Source organism: Homo sapiens, chromosome 10 (assembly GCF_000001405.40).
Source record: "Homo sapiens chromosome 10, GRCh38.p14 Primary Assembly".
Classification (NCBI taxonomy): domain Eukaryota; kingdom Metazoa; phylum Chordata; class Mammalia; order Primates; family Hominidae; genus Homo; species Homo sapiens.
In genome coordinates, this window is record NC_000010.11 from 49,691,470 (window position 1) to 49,711,085 (window position 19,616).

The 19,616-nt window shown below is 44.6% G+C and overlaps 1 protein-coding gene across 2 annotated transcripts in view; it reads left to right on the forward strand.

The window, feature by feature from the left end:
* C10orf53 (chromosome 10 open reading frame 53) overlaps positions 1-18,792 on the forward strand; it is a 30,611-nt gene extending 11,819 nt beyond the window's left edge. The window contains exons 2-3 of one of the 2 annotated variants that reach the window (NM_182554.4): positions 2,305-2,424; positions 16,892-18,792. In NM_182554.4, the coding sequence (NP_872360.2) occupies positions 2,305-2,424; positions 16,892-17,148 (377 nt within the window). In that variant the 3' untranslated portion in view covers positions 17,149-18,792. Of the gene's footprint in view, positions 1-2,304; positions 2,425-3,068; positions 6,064-16,891 lie in introns of those variants that run through there. The other variant, NM_001042427.3, reaches the window with a different exon arrangement.
* Positions 18,793-19,616: the final 824 nt, after the last annotated feature.

The window sequence follows — 19,616 nt, forward strand, 5'->3', positions numbered from 1 at the left end:
CAGTGAGGAAGACACATGCCCTTTAAGAGCACGAGAGCCTGTGCTTTGCAACCCTGTAGAGGGCAGAGTGAAGAGTGGTGTGTCTCTTAAGAGGGTTTCTTCCTGTTGGGCTTCATTTGCTCGAAGATGAGGTGGACCCCCATTATTCGGCACCCCTCAACTCAATAGGGTAAGTGATTCGGTGGATCAATTCCTGTTTCTGAGCTACACCATGCCGTATAAGTGCCACTGTCCTCTAAACTCCAAGCTCAGATGCCACGTGAGGCTCAGTCAGCAGGCCCTGCAGGAGGGCCAGGGGCAGGCTACAGTGTGCTCGCCTCCTGGGGCCTCCACCCGTAGGGCTGCTCCTTGCCCACAGTCCATGCACCCTCACTCCTCCAGGCCTTAGAGAGTTGGCACTGGGTGTTAACTGCCGAGTGGCAGCACCTTGCCTCACAGGTGGAGGTTGGGGGGTGCGGGTGTAAGGTGGGAATGGAGAAGTTGTTTTGCTCCTGATTTCTTCCTATCAAATTGAAGTCCATCCTCCAGGAGTGTCTTCAGACAAATGCAGCTCCGCCGTCCTGAGGGGTTGCTGCTGAGGGAGTGTGGGATCCCAGAAATCTCTGCCCATGGACTGCCTTTATGTCTCCCTAGATGATCAGCTGCCTTTCCAAACGAGCTGGACTGCTTCATTTAAACAAGTCGTGGGTCCAAACTGAGTGCCTTCTTCAAAGACGTTTAAGAACGAGACACTTAAACAGGATGCAATATCATAAATATGCCAATGAAAAAGATGCAGGCATTTTTTTAGAGACGCATTAGCTGACATGGGTCAATTAGGGCCGCCTATGGGTACCCAGGGAGTGCTGTCTTGTTAATGGAGATCCTTGCTGAGTCTCTTTCTGAAGTTCCTTTCCAGAAGTGAAATTAAAATCGCGCAATTAAAATGTTCACAGTTGGGGCTGGATGTTCTTGAACTGATTGAAAGATGAAGAAGTGGACACACCAACATTTTGAAACAGCAATTGTCTCTGTAATTAAATGCAATTAACTGACATAACTGTTTGCTTTACTCCGTGTAAAACTGATTGAAATGGCAAGACTTTAAAGAATATGCCCCCGTCTGTTTTCTCTTTCCATCCTAAACAAAATTCTCACCAACATATGAAGACCAACAAAGGTAATGATCGGCACACCCACTCTAATATTGATGTTATGGGTTAAATATATCCAGGAAAGTGGGGAGAAATACATTGGAAAAAATAGAGCTCTAGGCTGTCCAATGTACATCATTTCTTCTAATCCACACACCTTTGCATTTCCACAATAAAAAGATTAAATCTGACAATTATTCCATAACTGTTCTCTGGGGAAGGAGCCATTGAATGTAAGTGATAATCAAAATGCAGATTCCAAAGATGAGAATAAAAAGTTAGTTCATTAGCTTTTCTAAAAAACTTTTTTTCAGATTATTATACGCAATCTGGAAAATGCTGAAAGAATAAAGAGAAAAAAGTTTCCCATAATCTCACCACAGACAGATAATCAATAGGTATTTTCTTCATCCTTACATACATATTTGAATTCATATTGACTATATATTTTAAACATGTATTATATATATTTGTATCCTAAGTTTTTGCTTATATTGCATGTATTTTTCTTGCCATTAAAAAAGTTCATGAACATTTTTATAAATGTCCAAATAAAATCTCATCACATGGACATTCCACCGTTTATTTGGCCGTCCTCTCATTATTGGATATGTAAGTTATTCACGGTATTTTGCTGTCATAATAATGGAGAAAAGACATCTTGTTGCAAAAATCTGCCTGTATTTTTTTTCCTTAGGAAGCTTTCTTTTAAGTGTAATTTCCTGGACTAAAGATTAGAATCATTTTTTGAGGCTTTTGGTACGTACTGCCAAATTGCCCTCCAGAAGGTGTTCAATTTGTACTTTCATCAGCAGAGTAAGAAGTTGCCTATTCCCCCAAGTCTTCTCCAGCACTGAGTGTGGTCTCTATAAGATTGAGCCTCTGGAAAGCCCAATAGCCCTTTACTAGAGGAAGCTCATTGTTTAACAGATCACCTTGGTGTAGGACAAACCGCAACTGAAACCTGAATTACTCAGGCCTCTGGCTGTGCTTCCCAGCAAAGGTGAGGGCACCTGGGGCCAACACCCAGAAAGTGCCTACCAGGGCAGTTGAGTGATACCCATGAGCAACTAGATGGCAGACAAGCTACTGTCATCATGAGGACTGCTACCAGTCAGGTTAGTTTGAAGTCTGACCCCATGTCACTCACCTCCTTTTCTTTCCTTCCCAGCTGTGTTGGCCATAGATGGACATGAGGTCATCCTAGAGAAGATAGAAGACTGGAATGTGGTGGAACTCATGGTGAATGAAGAAGTCATCTTCCACTGCAACATTAAGGACTTGGAGTTCGGTAAGCCCTTTGGCGATGCTTCCAGCCAGCAATTTGCCTCCTCTGAGGAGTCCCTCAATTTCTAGTTGAAATGATCAGTGTATCATGCCTGGATTCAAATTGGGTTTCTTTCTGAGTTTGAAACTTGTACTGAAAGCCCTGTGCTTTCAGTGGCACACACAGGAGAGTATCCAAAACCACACAGTAAAGTGTGTGATGCTACGAGTTTCCCCAAACATTGGAAACAGGAAGGAAAATGAAGTGAAGCCCTGGACTTCGAGGGATGTGATGGAATTAAGGGATAATAGGTTTTTGTACTTTAATAATATGTATTCTGTTATTATTTGCTTTCGAAGCTGCTTTTTTTCCACTTGTTTATTCTATCTAGACTTGCTAAGACACTGAGTTGATATGCCAGCAGTGCATGACACTATCAGCAACATTCAAATGAGAGCTTCTGGCCTGGCAGGCTGGCACTGTGCGTGCCTCTCTGTGCTCAGAAGTTAAAGCTTTGCAATCCACTAACACTCTATTAAAAACTAGTTAACATTTTACCAGCCCATGGCCTTTGAAAATGCACTCTGGGTGGAAGCCATAGGTATGTCTGATATGATAACAAATTGTATATAAAGCTAACCAAAAGACAATTATATCTGTTTCCCTAGGAGGCGATGGTAAACTAGACCCACTGTGTGAAAAGGCCAGGATAGCCGTGCTGAATGCCTACTGATCTCCTCATGGAACAGGCATCTCAAGTCGGCACAACAGCAGCTGCCCCAGCCATTCTATGATGCAGGCAGAAGTGGCTGTGCCACGGTGTGGACACTGGGCTCTGCTAGTCAGAACAGGGCAACTCGGGCCTGACCTCCAGCTTACGCAGCCTCAGGATTGTCACCTGGCTGCACAGGAGCCCACAGAAATAATAAAAACCACATCATTTATAACATGTCTCAATCTCAACCCATAGGGAGAGCCCTCCAATATCAGGTACACATTGAGCTGAAGGAAACAATAAAATGCAATCAAATAACAAGGTGCCATTCCTGACTAATAACACATAGTTGCCAGAAGCATCTGAGATTCCATTGTTTAGTACTCAAAGTGCTCAGAACAGGTGAAATTAAAGAGAGGTTGGGGGAAGAGTGGGAATAAAGGCTTTTGAAAGTCTGAACCAAAAGCAAATGTTAATATTTGGAAACCTTGCTATTCCTACAGATTTATTTCTGACTCCTGAGGGAATAAATATTTTAAATTGCTATTATAAAATTAGCCAAAATCAAATCTTCAATTTCTCTCATCTAAAACAAGAAAATGACCTGCCTTCTTTTGCATTAATATCGTCTGAGGAGGGCGCAAAAGAGTCCTCAGCAGAATGTGAGATGGTTCCCTGGTCCCTCTGGAGTAGAACACAGCCCCATAGAGTTAAAGAGGGTTTTCACTATGTTCAGTGTGAAAATCAGTCATGTCGAAATGATATTTTTACTTTCCACTCTTACGCACCAATGTGTAGTATATATTCTTAACTATAGAGTAACAGAGAGGGGGAAATGCAGATATTGATCTAATGACGTCAAATGGGAGGTCATGGTAAGAAGGCCTCACACCTACGGGGAGAAAACCAGATTCCCTAACAGAAAACTCTGGACCCGGGGCACCTGTGCTGAAGGAGCAGGGCTTTCAGGATCGCTCAGAGACCTGCGGCTTCACCTGCTCTGAGAGCAGTCCTAACCATCGCCCCAGGCAGCCTCAAACCCTCCTGCACCCCAGAACTTCAAAGACCACTGGGGACCATGAAACTGCTTGCACAAGTTCCTTCTCACACAGGACAAAGTAGGGGATATAATTTTTAAAACCCCAGCCCAAGCTTCACTTGTCAGAGTTGATTCAGGGATTGTGAATCACTTAGAACTCTATGGAACTATTTAAGCATCTCCTTACTGAGAAACTGAGGCTCAAAAGAGATTCTTCCTCCCAGTGTCTGGTGCTGGTTTTCACATATCTTTTGTAACCCTACATTTAGTCCCTTTTTTTCAAAACCCAGTTTAAGTTACTATAGATGTAGCATTCAATCTTTGTTTCAATATAACATTTTACTACAAGAGAAATCCATTCTCATTAAAGAAAAATGGAAAAATACAGGTAAAAATAAAGTACAACTTTAGTAACATTTTTATATATTTCAATTTGGGTTTCTTCTGTTTATGTCTGAATATTCATAAAGAGATAGACATATAGAAATTGACTTCATCCATTTGAGATTTATGCACAATTTTGTAAGTTTTTAAAAATTTTTCAACTTTTATTTTAGATACAGGGGGTACATGGGCAGGTATGTTGAATCTTTTTTTAAACGTAACATTTTACATAGAGCCTCTTCCCGCATGATTTGTTGACTGTCTGAGCATTTTATCTTGAATCAGGAAATCTCTCCCTTGAGCTGTGATTTCTACTTTCATGGCCAAAACTTTTTCAATGCTGAGAACTGAAATTGCTAGCTTCCCCTGTCTGCATTTGGAGTGGGAACTTCATCTCCAAACACAGTGGAATCCTGTCTCCTCTAGCCCTGCAACCCCGGCATTAAACTGGTAACAAGTGCTTCCCTCGGCAGCCCCATGCCCTCCTCCAGCATCCGCCTCAACCCCGCAGGTTGTATTTGTGCCTTCAGAGTAGCACTACAAGTGAAGAAGACCTGCCCTCCTTGGCTTCATGACCAGAGCTGAAGGGCAGGTAAGGCGAGACAGTACACGGATTCTAAGAAATACCGGAGAAGCTTCTGGGAGATGCCTGTGCCCAGAGCCCTATGTTTCAGTTTGGATCAGAGGCAAATGATGTCTGAATCAGCATTGCTGGGAAAAATCACCGAGGTTTCCTCTGAGCAGTGGGATTGGGGGGTGTGGGGGGCAGGTGAGGTAGAGGGAGGAAGTTTGCAGGGCTATTCTGCCTTCCGTATTGTAAATGTTTTTAGTGGTGGAATTGATTTTCACTTTGTATGTAAGTGTGTGTTAGGGGTACTTTTCAGATAAAAACTTAAAATCAGGGCCGGGCACTATGGCTTTTGCCTGTAATCCCAGCACTTTGGGAATCCAAGGTGGGTGGATTTGTTTGAACACAGGAGTTCGAGAGCAGCCTGGCCAACATGGTGAAGCCTCATCTCTACAAAAAATACAAAAATTAGCCAGGCCTGGTGGCATGCACCTGTAGTCCCAGCTACTTGAGGGGCTGAGGCAGGAGGATCACCTGAGCCCAGGAGCTAGAGGCTGCAGCGAACCTAGATCACGCCACTGCACTCCAGCCTGGGTGACAAAGTGAGACCCTGTCTCAGAAAATAAAATAAAGATTTTGACATAGAAGCCACCTGTCTATGGCCTTATCCTCCTCTGTCACTGATTAAGAGGAACTTTCTCTATGGAAATCTCTGAAGAATGTGCTGTCATCCTCCTCCTTTGCCTCCCTCTCTCGAGCACGCACCTCCCTGCCCAGAAGCAAGAGACACAGCTTGCTCCCCATCAAAGGCAAAAGTGCCCTGTGCTTCAACGTGCTAGACATTCGGGCGCCTTCATGCTTTTAAAATACCACTGATTAAATCACATTTTAAGTTTTATAAGATGTCAAGTCAATGTCGTTATGATTAACATGTAAAGAAAGTGTATTTTAAAATAAAGTTAGAAGCATAGCTGTGTCTTAATTTTTTTTGTTTTTGAGACAGTCTTGCTCTGTCACCGAGGCTGGAGTGCAGTGGCATGATCATGGTTCACTGCAACCTCTGCCTCCTGGGTTCAAACAATCCTCCTGCCTCAGCCTCCTGAACAGCTGGGATTACAGGCACTTGCCACCAAGCCCAGCTAATTTTTGTGTTTTTAGTAAAGACGGGCTTTCTCCATGTTGGCCAGGCTGGTCTCCTGACCTCAAATGATCCACCCACCTCGGCCTCCCAAAGTGCTGGGATTACAGGCATGAGCCACACCAAGCCTGGCCCTTAATTATCTTTAAATGAAATTTGGAGTCTCTAAACTTTTTCCATTTACTTCTAAAATTTAAAAAGAATAGATTTTCAAGGGGCCTTCCTGGGCTCCTCCCTGGGGCCTTATTGGCTATATCTGCTCCCTTGGTAAGATTGCCCTTAAAATCTGATGATTGGCTGGAGGCTGTGGCTCACACCTGTAATCCCAGTGTTTTGGGAAGCCAAGAAAGGACATTTGCTTGAGGCCAGGGGTTCCAGACCAGCCTGGGCAACACAGTGAGACCTCATCTCTACAAAAAGTAAAAAATTAGCTGAGTGCAGTGGCATGCACCTGTAGTCCCAGCTATTTGGTAGACTGAGGTGGGAGGATAGCTTGAACCCAAGAGTTCAGGGCTTCAGTGAGCTACAATCACACCACTGCACTCCAGCCTGGGTGACAGTGAGACCCTGTCTCAACAAAAAAACAAAAAAACCTGACAATCCTTGCAAGAGGGCCATATACAAGGGAACTGTGTGAAAAATCAGCTCTCCAGGTAGGTTGCTGGGACATCTCAGTGGTGTGGAGACGAAGGGAGGACTGAACACATGGTGCTGAGGGAGGACTGGACACATGTCCTGAACAAAATCACACTGGGATTTGTTACTCTGGTCCCCTGCTTCAGACATTCATCCCCAGCCCTGCAAGCATTACAGTTAGAGAAAGAGAACATCTCAACTGGTGACAATCAACAAATGCCCTGGGGGTGTAAGGTTTCCACTAGAAACACAGCTGTTGGCCAAATCCAGGTAAAAGACAAGAAAGTGCTAGCCCAGGTCTCGGGCATAAGGCGTGTGGAACTATTCTTCCCAAACTGTCTGAATATTGAAAATGCTGGTGGAAGGGAGCTTCCTATGAGACAGTGGTGTAATCAGGCGCTATAGTGGCAGCTGTGAGTGGATGTTCCCACTCATAGGACGGGGCACTGCACTTCTCCCCCGTGCAAATCAGAGCACACACCCGAGGCCTCCGAAGTCAGGCAGCAGCAGACTGAGGGCACCATGCTGGTGTAAGACAACAACAGGGTGGACAGCGTAGTGAGTGCCAGGGACGTGGGGAGCAGGCAGCTAGGCTAACAGCGGTGGCGGCAGCTCAGCTCTAGTGATGTTGCTGTGCAGGGTATCAATCTTCTGAATTGTTCCAGAAAAGCTGGAAATCTGGATTTTTACTAGAGACTTTTGGTTTTAAAATGTTGGTTCAATTTTGCTTTTTGGCCAACAGTAAAATTTTACTGAAAGGCATTTTTAAAATAGCCCAATAATATGTCAAGATTTATCATTTTTCTTTCTCTTGTTAACTTTTTGTTTTGGTGGCTCAATCTTTTTTTTTTTTTTTTTTTTTTTTGACAAGGCCTTGCTCTATTGCCCAGGCTGGAGTGAGTAGCACAGTCATAGCTCACTGCAGCCTCAAACTCCTGGGCTCAAGCAATCCTCCTGCCTCAGCCTTCCGAATAGCTGAGACTACAGGTGCATGCCACCATACCCAGATACTTTTTCTTATTTTTTGGTAGAGATGGCATCTCCTATGTTACCCAGGCTGGTCTCGAATTCCTGGGCTCAAGCAATCCTCCTGCCTTAGCCTCCCAAAGTGCCGGGATTACAGGCACAAGCCACCACACCCAGTATGGTGGCTCAATTAAAAAAAAAATTGGTGCCAACTGAAAAACCAAAACAACCACATTTGTAGCCCGTTACTGTGATGATCACCTGCTTCTGATCAAGGAGCATGGGATGCTCCTTGCAGGGGGCACTCCAGTTTACACCTTTGGTCTGAGAGTCATTTTCCACATTAATTCCACCGTCACCCTTCCCAGAAGGCCCCTGGCTCTCCTGTCCACAGCTATAGTGTGTGCAGACTACTCTTGTTTTAATGAAACCACTTGACCCAACCATTTGGTTATGTAAATGAAAAAGCAAAGACTATTTGCAGATCTATGAAATAAAGACATTTGAGAAGCTAAGACCTAAAAAGCCTGATTGTTCTGTGATCAGGTACAAGAGGGCCCAGCTGTAGGCAGAGCTCATCCCCCCCGAGATCAGGTTGCCTGAGGGGAAGAGCCTCCAGGCAAGATGTGAGCCTACTTTGCCTGCATGGTCACAGGTCTTTGTGAGCGTGCATGTCCCTGTTCTGTGGATGTTCTGTTTAGAGGAAGTTAAGAGCTGAGACCCAGCAGACTCAACAATGGTGAGTTAGCCCCTCCTCACATGGGAGGAACCTGTCAGGTGAGGCTTAGTCCAAACTGCACCACCGATGTCTCCATAAAAAATACTGAACACCAAAGCTTCTGACTCCAAGGAATCCATTGGCATGGCAGTCCCTCGTCAGCGGACTCCAGGCCCCATTCCCATGTTCTGATTTAATGGGTCTGGGAGGGACCCAGGAATCTACTTCTTTCACATGTGAGCCACCTGATTCCAGTGCATCCAGGCCAAATGCACTGAGAGAAGTGGCATCAGGGTGTTAGGACAGGACTATATTGTCCCTGTAGGTAGCGGTGGGCATTTCCCCCCAAGGGGAATGAAGCTACCTTCTGTCAGTCATTCTGGGAAGTGCTAGGAAGGTTATCCCCCACCCAGACCAGGGAAATGGGATGTTTCTTCCCTCTGGGCCTCATGTTCTTGGGCCTGGATTCCAGGGACAATAGAAAGGCTTGGAAATACTCCGGGTTGGCGGTTGTGAGAGAGGCTGGTCTCTAGAGCATGGCCAGTAAACCATGGGCATGTCCACTTCTCCCTGATTCTCATATCTTTCTAACAGTCACAGCACCACTGGAGCTGTGATGTGGAGATGTCAACTCTTTTGCTAGATCTGCACCTACTCCTAGGGTGGAGGAAGGCCTGGGGGAAGAGAATATACTCCCAGGGTGAGCACAGCAGCAGCAGCAATGGCCTTCAGAGTCTCACCCTGGAACCTGCTGGAAGTGAATCCAGGCAGTGTGGACTCCCAGAGCCCAGAACTATGAGGGAAACCACTGGGCATGCAGCCCCCATCCCTCCTGTCCACAGTAAAAGCACATTAGATGATGCAGGCTGGTCCTTTGACCACACAGGAGGACTCTTTTGAGCAAACTTGGGGTTTTATTGCTAATCTGCCACTTGTACCCTGAACCAAGAAGAGCCAGGCCACATTTAGGATATATATATATGTATATATATGCACATAAATGATGTGCCTTTATTGACATATCTATTTATTAAAATCTGCATTTACATTAGTGAGTCTTTTTCTTTGGATACAAAGCAATACAGGTACTCCTCACTTTACAGATAGGTACACTCCAGCGGAGGGCAGCACTCAAATGCGTCTCTTGAGAGAGAGGAGGGGAGTTGAGAGAGAGGGCACAGCTCCCTAAGGGTGTATCAGGTTTCAGCTCGTTCAATCTGCAGACACTTTCAGCAGAGGCTGAAATGGTCACCTGGAGAGGGAACCTGCAGCTAACTGTCCCTCTGTCACTGATGTGAGTGTGTGCTAAATGGGGGGAAACTAGGTTGAGAACCAGAGCTATATGTTTTGTACAAATTGCTGCGTTTTTTTTTATTAACTTTTATTTTACACTTAGAAGTATATTTCTGAGTTGCTATAACTATTGTACTACAAATTGTTCCCCAAGTCATTGTCATTTTTCATACGTTTTAAGTCTGACCAGTGACCTAGACCTTATTCTACACACAATCAGGGTACCCCAAATTTCTCACAGTTCCTCAAAGTAAACCATAGTCTTTTCTCTGCCTTCCTCGTGCTGCTTCCTCCTCATGGAAGGCCATGCTGTGTTCTCTGGTTGACAAACTCTTGCTCAGCCTTCAGGTCCCTTCTCACCTATCAGGCCCTCCTTGAAGCCTGCCCTGCCCTCCCACCACTCCCACCCCCATGGCACCAGGGATGACCTTGGTGGAGCATCGCATGCCAGCCACACTGGCTTGCTGGTCTCTCCAGTGCCTCTGTGTGATGAGCCCATCAATGACGATCTCTTCTCTTTACCTTTGTGCTCTGGATAAGAAGGGTCAAAATCAGCAGCATGTTGAATAAAAGTGGAAGAAATAACAGTGGTTGGCCGGGCGTGGTGGCTCACACCTGTAATTCCAGCACTTTGGGAGGCCGAGGTGGGTGGATCACTTGAGGTAGGGAGTTTGAGATCAGCCTGGCTAACATGGTGAAACCCCGTCTCTACTAACAAAAATTAGCCAGGCATGGTGGTGGGCGCCTGTAATCTCAGCTACTTGGGAGGCTGAGGTAGGAGAATCACTTGAATCCAGGAGGCGGAGATTGCAGTGAGCCGAGATTGCACCACCTCACTCCAGCCTGGGCAACAGCGTGAGACTCTGTCTCAAAAGAAAACAAAGAAAAGGAAGGAAGGAAGGGAGGGAGGGAGGGAGGGAGGGAGGGAGGGACAGTGGTCAAAACCAGTGGGAAGTTGGGGTGGTTAATTGTATGTATCCAGTTGACTGGGCCATGGGGTGCCTAGGTATTTGATCAAACATTATTCTGGGAGTTTCTGTGAGGATATTTCTGGCTGAGATTACCATTTGAATCACTAGACTGAATAAAGCAGATTCCACCCCCACTCAAGGTGGGAGCCTCATCCAGCCCATACCTCATCCAAATCTGAATAGAGTGAAAGGTGGGATTTGGAGAAATTTGCTTTCTCTGCCTGACTATCCTCAAGCCGGGATGTTGATCTTCTCCTGCACTTGAACTGGGACTTACACCACTGGCTCTCCTGTTTCTCAGGTCTTCATATTTGGACTTAAACTACCACCTACTCTTGGGTCTCCAGCTTTCAGCCAGCAGGTAGCAGGACTTCTCAGCCTCCATAATTGTGACAATTCCATACAGATATAGGTTTAGCTATAGATGTAGATATAGACTATATAGATATACATATAGATCTCCTATTGGTTCTGTTTCTCTGGCGAACCCTGACTAATACAGAAGTCAAGAGTTGAGGCCGCTCCTCAGTCCCAGAGACCCTGACTCCAACTACCTCTACTAACCACCATCTAAGCATGGAGTGTTCTGGTCCATGATGTCTACCAAGTTCCAGCCACCAGATATATGTTGCAGGCATCTGGAAGGAGGAAGGGACAAAAAGAGGGGTTTTCCCTGCTCCCTTCTTTTTCTTTTTTCATCAGGGGCCTACAAGGACAGTGTACCCCACCCCGCTCCCTCAAGGGGAGGGGGGTCGCCGGGGGCCTCCCACTTATTCTACACCTCTCGTGTCTCTTCACCATGCCAGACTAGAGTCAAGCTCAACAAGGTCTTCTTTCCCCGCCAATTCCACCAAGACTCTTCCCTTGGCTGTGGTTTCACCGGATAGTAGATAGGGACAGTGAGAATCTCCACTTCATTAATTCATGCACATCACTAATTAGATGACAAGGCATTCAGCTACTTAAGAGAGTCATAGTTACTCCTTTACCTGCACTTCATTGAATTTCTTCACTTTGGCATTCAGAGCACTGGGCAGAAATTATATCATATCAACACACGCCATGGGCCTTCGCAACACCCCCTCCCTTTTAAGAAGAATTCTCAGAAGCCTCACATGAGCCTCCATTTGCATGACCAAACCTAGCTATGAAAAGGACCGAAAATTGGAGCTGTTTAGCCAAGCAGCAGCGTTCTGCTAAAATATCTTATTAGTAAAGAGATGGAAGGAGTCCATGTAAGGCGACCAGCAGCCCCAGCCACATACTGGCACAAGGTAGGTGCTCACGGAGTGCCTGCTACATGCAGTGAAGGGAACTTGGTCACCACTAAGGTCTTGTGATGCCTGGTCTTGTGATAAACTGAGTGCTTTAGATCTGGGGACATTTCTAGACCGTCCTAAAGCCCTCTCATCATAACTCCTTCCTCCCGCTGGATATAACAGGCAGACTCATCATAAAACATCAACACTCCCTAATTAATATGTAAATGTAATGCTATACCAATAAAAATGCCAGAAAGACTTCTTGAAAACAAGACAACCTGATTATAAAGTTTATATTGAAATATGAACAATAGTAGCCAAAAATAGAATCGAAATCTAAAAATTGACAAACAGAGGAATGTAGTATATGATAAAGGGCCTCTCAAATCACTGGAGAAAAGCGCTCATTCTTAAAATGTGGTTAGGACAATTGGACCACCATCTGGAGGAGCAACGCCATTCCCGCCTGTCCTTATCCTACTATAAACTCCAGATGGAGCAAATACTTAAATGTAATAAAGAAAATCACAAACTTGAAACCTTTCATAAACTTGGAAGAAAGAAGGCCTTCCTAAACATGACTTGAAACCCAAAGACATAGAAGAAAAAAATGATTAAATTCAACTTCATAAGAAGAAAAGTGGTTTTGTGTTTTTAAAAACAAAGCAAATCACATCAAAAGTGAAAATACTTGTGAAAGAAGGCATTTGCAACTCATATCCTTAACCTACAGAGAGCTCCCACAAATCACTAAGAAAAAGGCTAACAGCCCACAGAAAGAAGACAAAAATGTAAGGAGGCAATTCACAGAAAAGGAAACATAAAAAGTACATAAACAGAGGAAAATATGTTTAACCTCATTCTTAATAAGATAAATGCAAATTGAAACTGAGATACTAGGCCAGGCGCAGTAGCTCACACCTGTAATCCCAGCACTTTGAGAGGCAGAGGTGGATGGATCACTTGAGGTCAGGAGTTTGAGACCAGCCTGACCAACATGGTGAAACCCTGTCTCTACTAAAAATACCAAAAAAATTAGCTAGGCATGGTGGTGCACGCCTGTAATCCCAACTACTCAGGAGGCCAAGGTGGGAGAATTGCTTGAACCCAGGAGGCAGAGGTTGCAGTGAGTCGAGATTGCACCACTGCACTCCACCCTGGGTGGCAGAGCGAGACTCTGTCTCAAAAAATTAAAATAAAAAAGGAAATACTAAAACAAAAAATGTTATAGGACTCTGTGTTGGTAAGGATGTGGTAAACAGGCACTTGTGCTTGATAGAGGCAGAGTAAGTTGACAAAATGTCTACAGAGCAATCTGGCATTGTCAAAAAAATCTAAAGCGTATATCTTTATACCTCCCTAAAGGGATTTGTCCTAAAGATACTATCTAAATCTATTCAAAAAATTTATGTGCATACAAGGAAATGCTTGTAATAACAAAAGATTGAAAGCTGCCCTGTATCACTAACAAGGGCCTGGTTAAATAAAACCTGGTTCATTCATTCAATGGAGTCCTATGTGTCCAGTCAAAAGAATGAGAGAGACTTTTGGAGTACTGTTATGGAAAGCTCTCTAAAATATATTGCTAAGGTCAAAAAAGTATGGTGTGGAGGAATATATATACTGTATGATTTATGAAAAAATGAGAAAGAACATATGGGTATGCATTGAATCTGCTTAAAATAGCAAGAAACAGGAAGAAGCTACCTCTAGACAGGGAGGCCTGGGGTGGCAGAGGGACAGCAATGAGCAGGAGATCTTTCACTATACATCCTTTTTACCTTTGAAACTTTGTATATATTATATTACCCATTCAAAAATAATGTTTTAAAAATAAGGCAGTTGTATTTAGATTGACAGAGAAGCCAGACCCTAGCATAGCAGAGGGCCATGGAAGATACAAGAAACAGGAATTGACTGGAAGACTGTTTGGATTAATAAGATAATTCAGTTTGGAGAAAGATCCAAAAGCCACTTGCCTCAAGAAATGGTGCAGGGACAACTGGATAGCCACAGGCAAAAGAATGAAGTTGGACCCCTACCTCACACCATATACAAAAATTAACTCAAAATAGATCGAAGACCTATATGTAAGAGCCAAAATTATAAAACTCTTAGGAAAAAAACCTACAGTTAAATCTTCATGACCTTGTATTTGGCAAATGTTTCTTATATATTAAACCAAAACACAAACAAAAGAAAAAATAGATAAATTGGACTTCATCAAAATTAAAAATGTTTGTCTTTCAAAGAACACCACCAAGAAAACGAAAAAATAACTCACAAAATGAGTTTTTAAAAATCATATATCTGATAAAGTACTTGTATCTAAAATAAAGAACTCTTACAGCTCAATAATAAAAGGACAAATAATTTAAAAACAGGCTAAGAATGGGAAAACCATTTCTCCAAAGAAGACATACAAATTACGACAAGCACAGGAAAAGATGCTCAGCATCATTAGAGGGAAATGCAAATCAAACCCACAATGACATACAATTTCGCACCCACAAAGATGGGTTCTAGCAAATAGTCAACAGGTGTTGGTTGATGGGGATGTAAAGAAATCAGAACCCTCATACACTGCTGGTGAAATGTCAGATGGGCAGCCACTTTGGAAAACAGTCTGGCAACCCCTAAAAAAGTAAAACATTGACCCAGCAATTCTATTCCTAGTATATACCCAAGAGAAATGAAAACATATGCTGACACAAAAAGCTGTACACAAGTATTTATAGCAGCATTTATTGATAGTAGCCGAAGTTGGAAATAACCCAAATGTCCATCAACTGATGAATAAGCAAAATGTGGTCTATCCATACAATAGAATATTGTTCCACCATAAAAAGGAATGAAGTTCTGATATATGCTACAACAGGCATGAACCTTGAAAACGTCATGCTAAGTAAAGGAAGACCATGTATTGTATAAGTCCATTCATATGAAGTGTCCAAATAGGCAAACATTTGGAGACAGAAAGTGGATTAGTGGTTGCACAGCACTGGGAGAAGGGGGACTGAGAAGATGATGGCTAAAGAATAAGGTGTTTCTTTTTTTTTTAACATGATGAAAATGTCCTATAATTGATTGTAGTGATGGGGTTGTACAAGTTCATGAACATAGTAAAATCCATTGAATTGTACAGTTTAAATGGATGAATTGTACATATGTGAATTCTACCTAACTACCAAAAAACGTCAGTTGCCTCCTCCCTCCAAACTATTTGAACAACATTAAAGGCACTGATGCAGTGTTTACATCTATTGTATGTACTGGTTTTGCAAAGATGTCCATATCACATTTACATGAACAATTTTCTGGTGTGTGTATAGTGTGTGCATACTCATTTGCACAAGCAAAAATATGCCAGGAAGAATATTCTTGCCCAGGGTTACCTGAGAGCAAGACGAGTAGGTAGGAGAACAGGAGGAAAACAATCCTTTACTCCTATGTTGTTTGATTTTTTTACAATGAGCACATGCTACTTTGTTAGCATACAACAAAAATTAATAAAAAACAAAAATTGAGCTCCTTTGCTGGCATTCATCAATGATCTAGCCTTGGTCACCTGCCTCACATGGACCATCTCAGATGTAACTCCTGTCTGCTAATCCTCACAAGAGCCCTACACACCCTACAGTGTTTTCTCCATTTAACAGGTGGGGAAACTGGGTCTTAGTGGAGGTGAGGGACCTGACCAAGCTCACTCACATAGGAGAGAAGTGGCCAAGACTGGGGGCAGAGCCCATATCCACAGGATGGACCCCAATGTTAAGCTTTCCCACTCCATCCCTTCCCATCACTGGAATGGGACTCAAGCTATTTTTGTAATTTTCCCAAAACTGACCTTAGGAAGTCTCCATCACCATAATCAATGACAAGCACAACCAGCTACAGTGCCCATATACAGTGAACCAGGTTCAGGCAAAAATTCTCAGGTTTCACCAGAACTTAGGCAACAGCCTAAATAACACCAAATAAGATTCAGAGCAGCTGGTGATCGAGCTCCAAGACTTGACTGATTCTTGTCTTTAAAATGTTCCAGTCGTTTAGCTGTTCAGTGGAAATTCAGCATCACTGAGGAAATGGGTTAAATGAGTTAAATACCCAATTCATAATGAAAAAATATCTTAAACCACTTGTTGATTGTTGTCTTTTCTGAAGCAAGCAGTGGAGTGGCATGGAAGCCAGGTAGCACGCCGCATTTGAATAGTGTGTGCTTCTTGGGAACTGTCTTCAGAGGGATGTACATTTTCCTCTGTTTTGAAAATGCTTCTGAGGCATCTAATAGTATCTCAGTGGTTTTCCTTAGAAATGAAAAAAAAAAACCCATTGACCTCATTGTATTTTTAACTGTCTTAAAGTTTTTCTCAATTTGCTACAAACATTAGTGCTTTATAAGAAGGGTACCAGTATTAGTGCCTGGAGTTCTAAGTGTTTCTAAATGTATTTCTGTACACCACCCAAGTACTGGCCCATCTCCTGGTTCTGTTCATGTGTTCTCCCCTGCACACTCTATTGTCATATCCACAGCTTCAGCTCCACTTCCCAACATCTTTCTCCAGCCCTGATTTCTTTGTTACATGCTAGATCCCAAATCTCAATGGTTAAGTCAGGAAATGTTCATCTTCAAGCAGTTTAAGCCAGCTGCAATTGGCTTAAGAATATAGGAAATATATTGGTTTGTATACCTGAAAAGTCCAGCTATAGGCATAGGTGAATATGAGTGTTCAGTCGACAACAGCAGGACTCTGTCTCCATCTCTTGATGCTGCTTTCTTCTCTGTTGTCTTTGTTCTCAGGCAAGCTCACCCCAAGTAGTGACAAGAGGACCACCAGCAGCTCCAGGCTGACATTTCACCAGCTTAGCAGCCCGTGTAGGATGAAAGTTTCTCCTTTGCAACAGTTCCCACAAAAGACCCAGGACCTGACTTGTACTGTATTGGCCCAGATTGGATCATGTATCCATTTCCAAACCAATCTTTGTGACCTGGGTTGGCCAGGCCTGGATCACATGCTCATTTCTGGACTAGAGAAGAGGGGAACTCAGCCCTACTGAAATCGACAGGACAGATTGTGGGAAAGGGGTTCATTTCACAAAAGGAAAATGGTGGGTCTGTTTCCAGAATAAGGGTGAATAGATGCTGAGTCCCCCAAAACAAAAATTGTCCCACATCTCCCGAACCTCTCCAGCTAGATGTCCCACAGGCAACCTGTGGCAAACCCAACGTGATTCTCCCCAGCTCTGAGTCTCTACAACTGTATTCCCGTGTTGAAGTTATGATCGATGAACTACTTACTCAATTTGGGAACTTGGGGACAGCCCCCACCATCTTCTGAAGTGAACTGATCTGCCCTTTTCTCAACAATGCCAGTGCTTTCGCCCTGCTTTGGGATTTGGCATCTCTTCCCCAAGCTGTTTAACTGGATTCCTATCTCGTTACTCTGTCTCCATTATCTCCTCCTGCAAACCACTCGCCACATGGCTGCTAAAATCATCTTTCCCAAGCATTGATCTGCCCGTTTCTTCCCTGTGCATTTATTTTTTGGCTTTCCATTGTCATGTTATATTTGGGGACCTCTCCACACTGTGAGTCTTGGTGGAAACAGAGTCTTGACATGAGCAAGTAACCCATGCTCCACCAGGGGAATGCACTGGCCCTAGACCTCAACTCTAGGGCTTGTGGCAAAAGGATGGTAAGAGAAGGAATGATGTGTTCTGTGGCTCTGGCAGCGGCAGCTACATCCAGCTTCTGGGGTCAGCCAGGGCAATCATGCCAGCTACGACATCCAGCATCTAGCAAGGTTAATGGGGTAAGCTGCCGTTTCTGGCCTCGGCAGCATGACCATGGGCTCCTTCCAGGCCTGGTTTTGTGGTATGACACGGCCTGAACCTCTGGCTTCAGAGCCTCTCCTTGTGTCCCTGTATTTTATCCAGCCTGCTTCTCCAGCCTTCTAGGCCAGTCCTTGAGATCCTGGTTTCCTCTCAAACAATTCCTTTTGAGCCCATCTCAGCCAGAACCAGCTCTGTTGCTCACAGCTATAAACCTTGACTGAGACACTCCTGTGTGGTTTCAGGAGAAAATTTAAACTCTTCAGCCAGGCATAAGAGACCCTTTACGATCTGAGCCTCACTCACCTGTTCCCTGGCCCACTGCCCACCCCACAGCCCTAAGTGATTAGCAAAGCAGGCCTTTCACATTTACAGGCCTCTGCCCTCCTGGCATCCCCTTCTCCACCTGGTAAATGCTGCCCAACTCAAGCAGCAACTCCTACCATAATCTTTCCCCTTCTCCCTTCTCTCCCAGCAGAACGGTGGGCTCCCCTCTCTGGTTCCCTGCAGCCTTGCTCTGCATAGGCTCTGATGAATGCCTGGCACCCTATATCTGTGTGTGTGTGTGTGTGTGTGTGTGTCTGTGTGTGTGTGTGTGTGTGTGTGTGTCTGTGTGTGTGTGTCTGTGTGTCTTGGGAGGGTCATAGAGCTCCTCAAAGCAGCAGCATGTCACCTCCCCCACGCCCCACGTCTTTGTGCCTCCTACCCTAGAGCCCACCATAGCACTTGTCCCATAGTGAGCCCTCAACAAACACACAGTTAACAAAGGATGGCAATCAATGCTCCATCCTGCCAGCCCTGGACACAACACCCAACAGTTGCTCGAGGGCCAGTGTGGCATTCTTACTTAATAAAACATGTTGGAAAATGTTTGAATGTCTCGGGGAAGAGTGCTTAGTACAAACTGTTGCAGACATTTCCATGGCATCTCTCTCGGGGATTATCAGTTGACCGGCTGGGAAAACTGTCTCCCTCAGGTTCTGGTGGCTGGAAGAGCCTTGTCACTGTGGAGCAGGGAAGACATGGCTGTCTCTTTTGGCCACTGTGGTGGACAGGGGCTGCTGTTGTCACTGCCTCCCTGCCTCTCCCCACTCTCAGTCTATGTGGTCCCCTGGACTCCACACCTTGCCTTGTTGCAGCTGAAACTCGTGTCCAAACAGTCAGAGCACATCGCCCAGGCCACAGCAATCAGCTTTTCTTAGGCCAGTGTAAGTTAGACTTCTTATCACTTGTAATCAGAACTGAAATGTTTTTTGCTACATCAGCCACTAAACTCAACAGTGGGTGCCCAGCAGGATTAAGTGGGCCTCCTCTCACACAGGAAAGGGGTGGCTCCCTGCAGCTCCTGGCACACCCAGCTCTAGTCCGGGACTTGAGTCCCCCACACCCCGCTGCAGTAGCTGATGGCTTTAGCTCCGCATTTGCCCCCTCACCCCCAGGCTCTTCTCTGTCTCACCCACCCCAGCCCAGCCCTTCCCTCCTTCTCCCCATTCCCCAGGGCTCTGCCTCCTCCCCCTTTTCAGGAGTAAACACTTTCCTGTTTTCTCCTCCAGCAGTTAATGCCTCCCTGTGTTTGATTCCAGGCAGACATAGACCACAGTTCTGGAAACTTCACCCTGTTACCTGCTGTAAGCGAGGAAACCATGGCATGGCCGTCATGGATGTTCATGAGTTCTCGGCAACCTGTGAGCTAA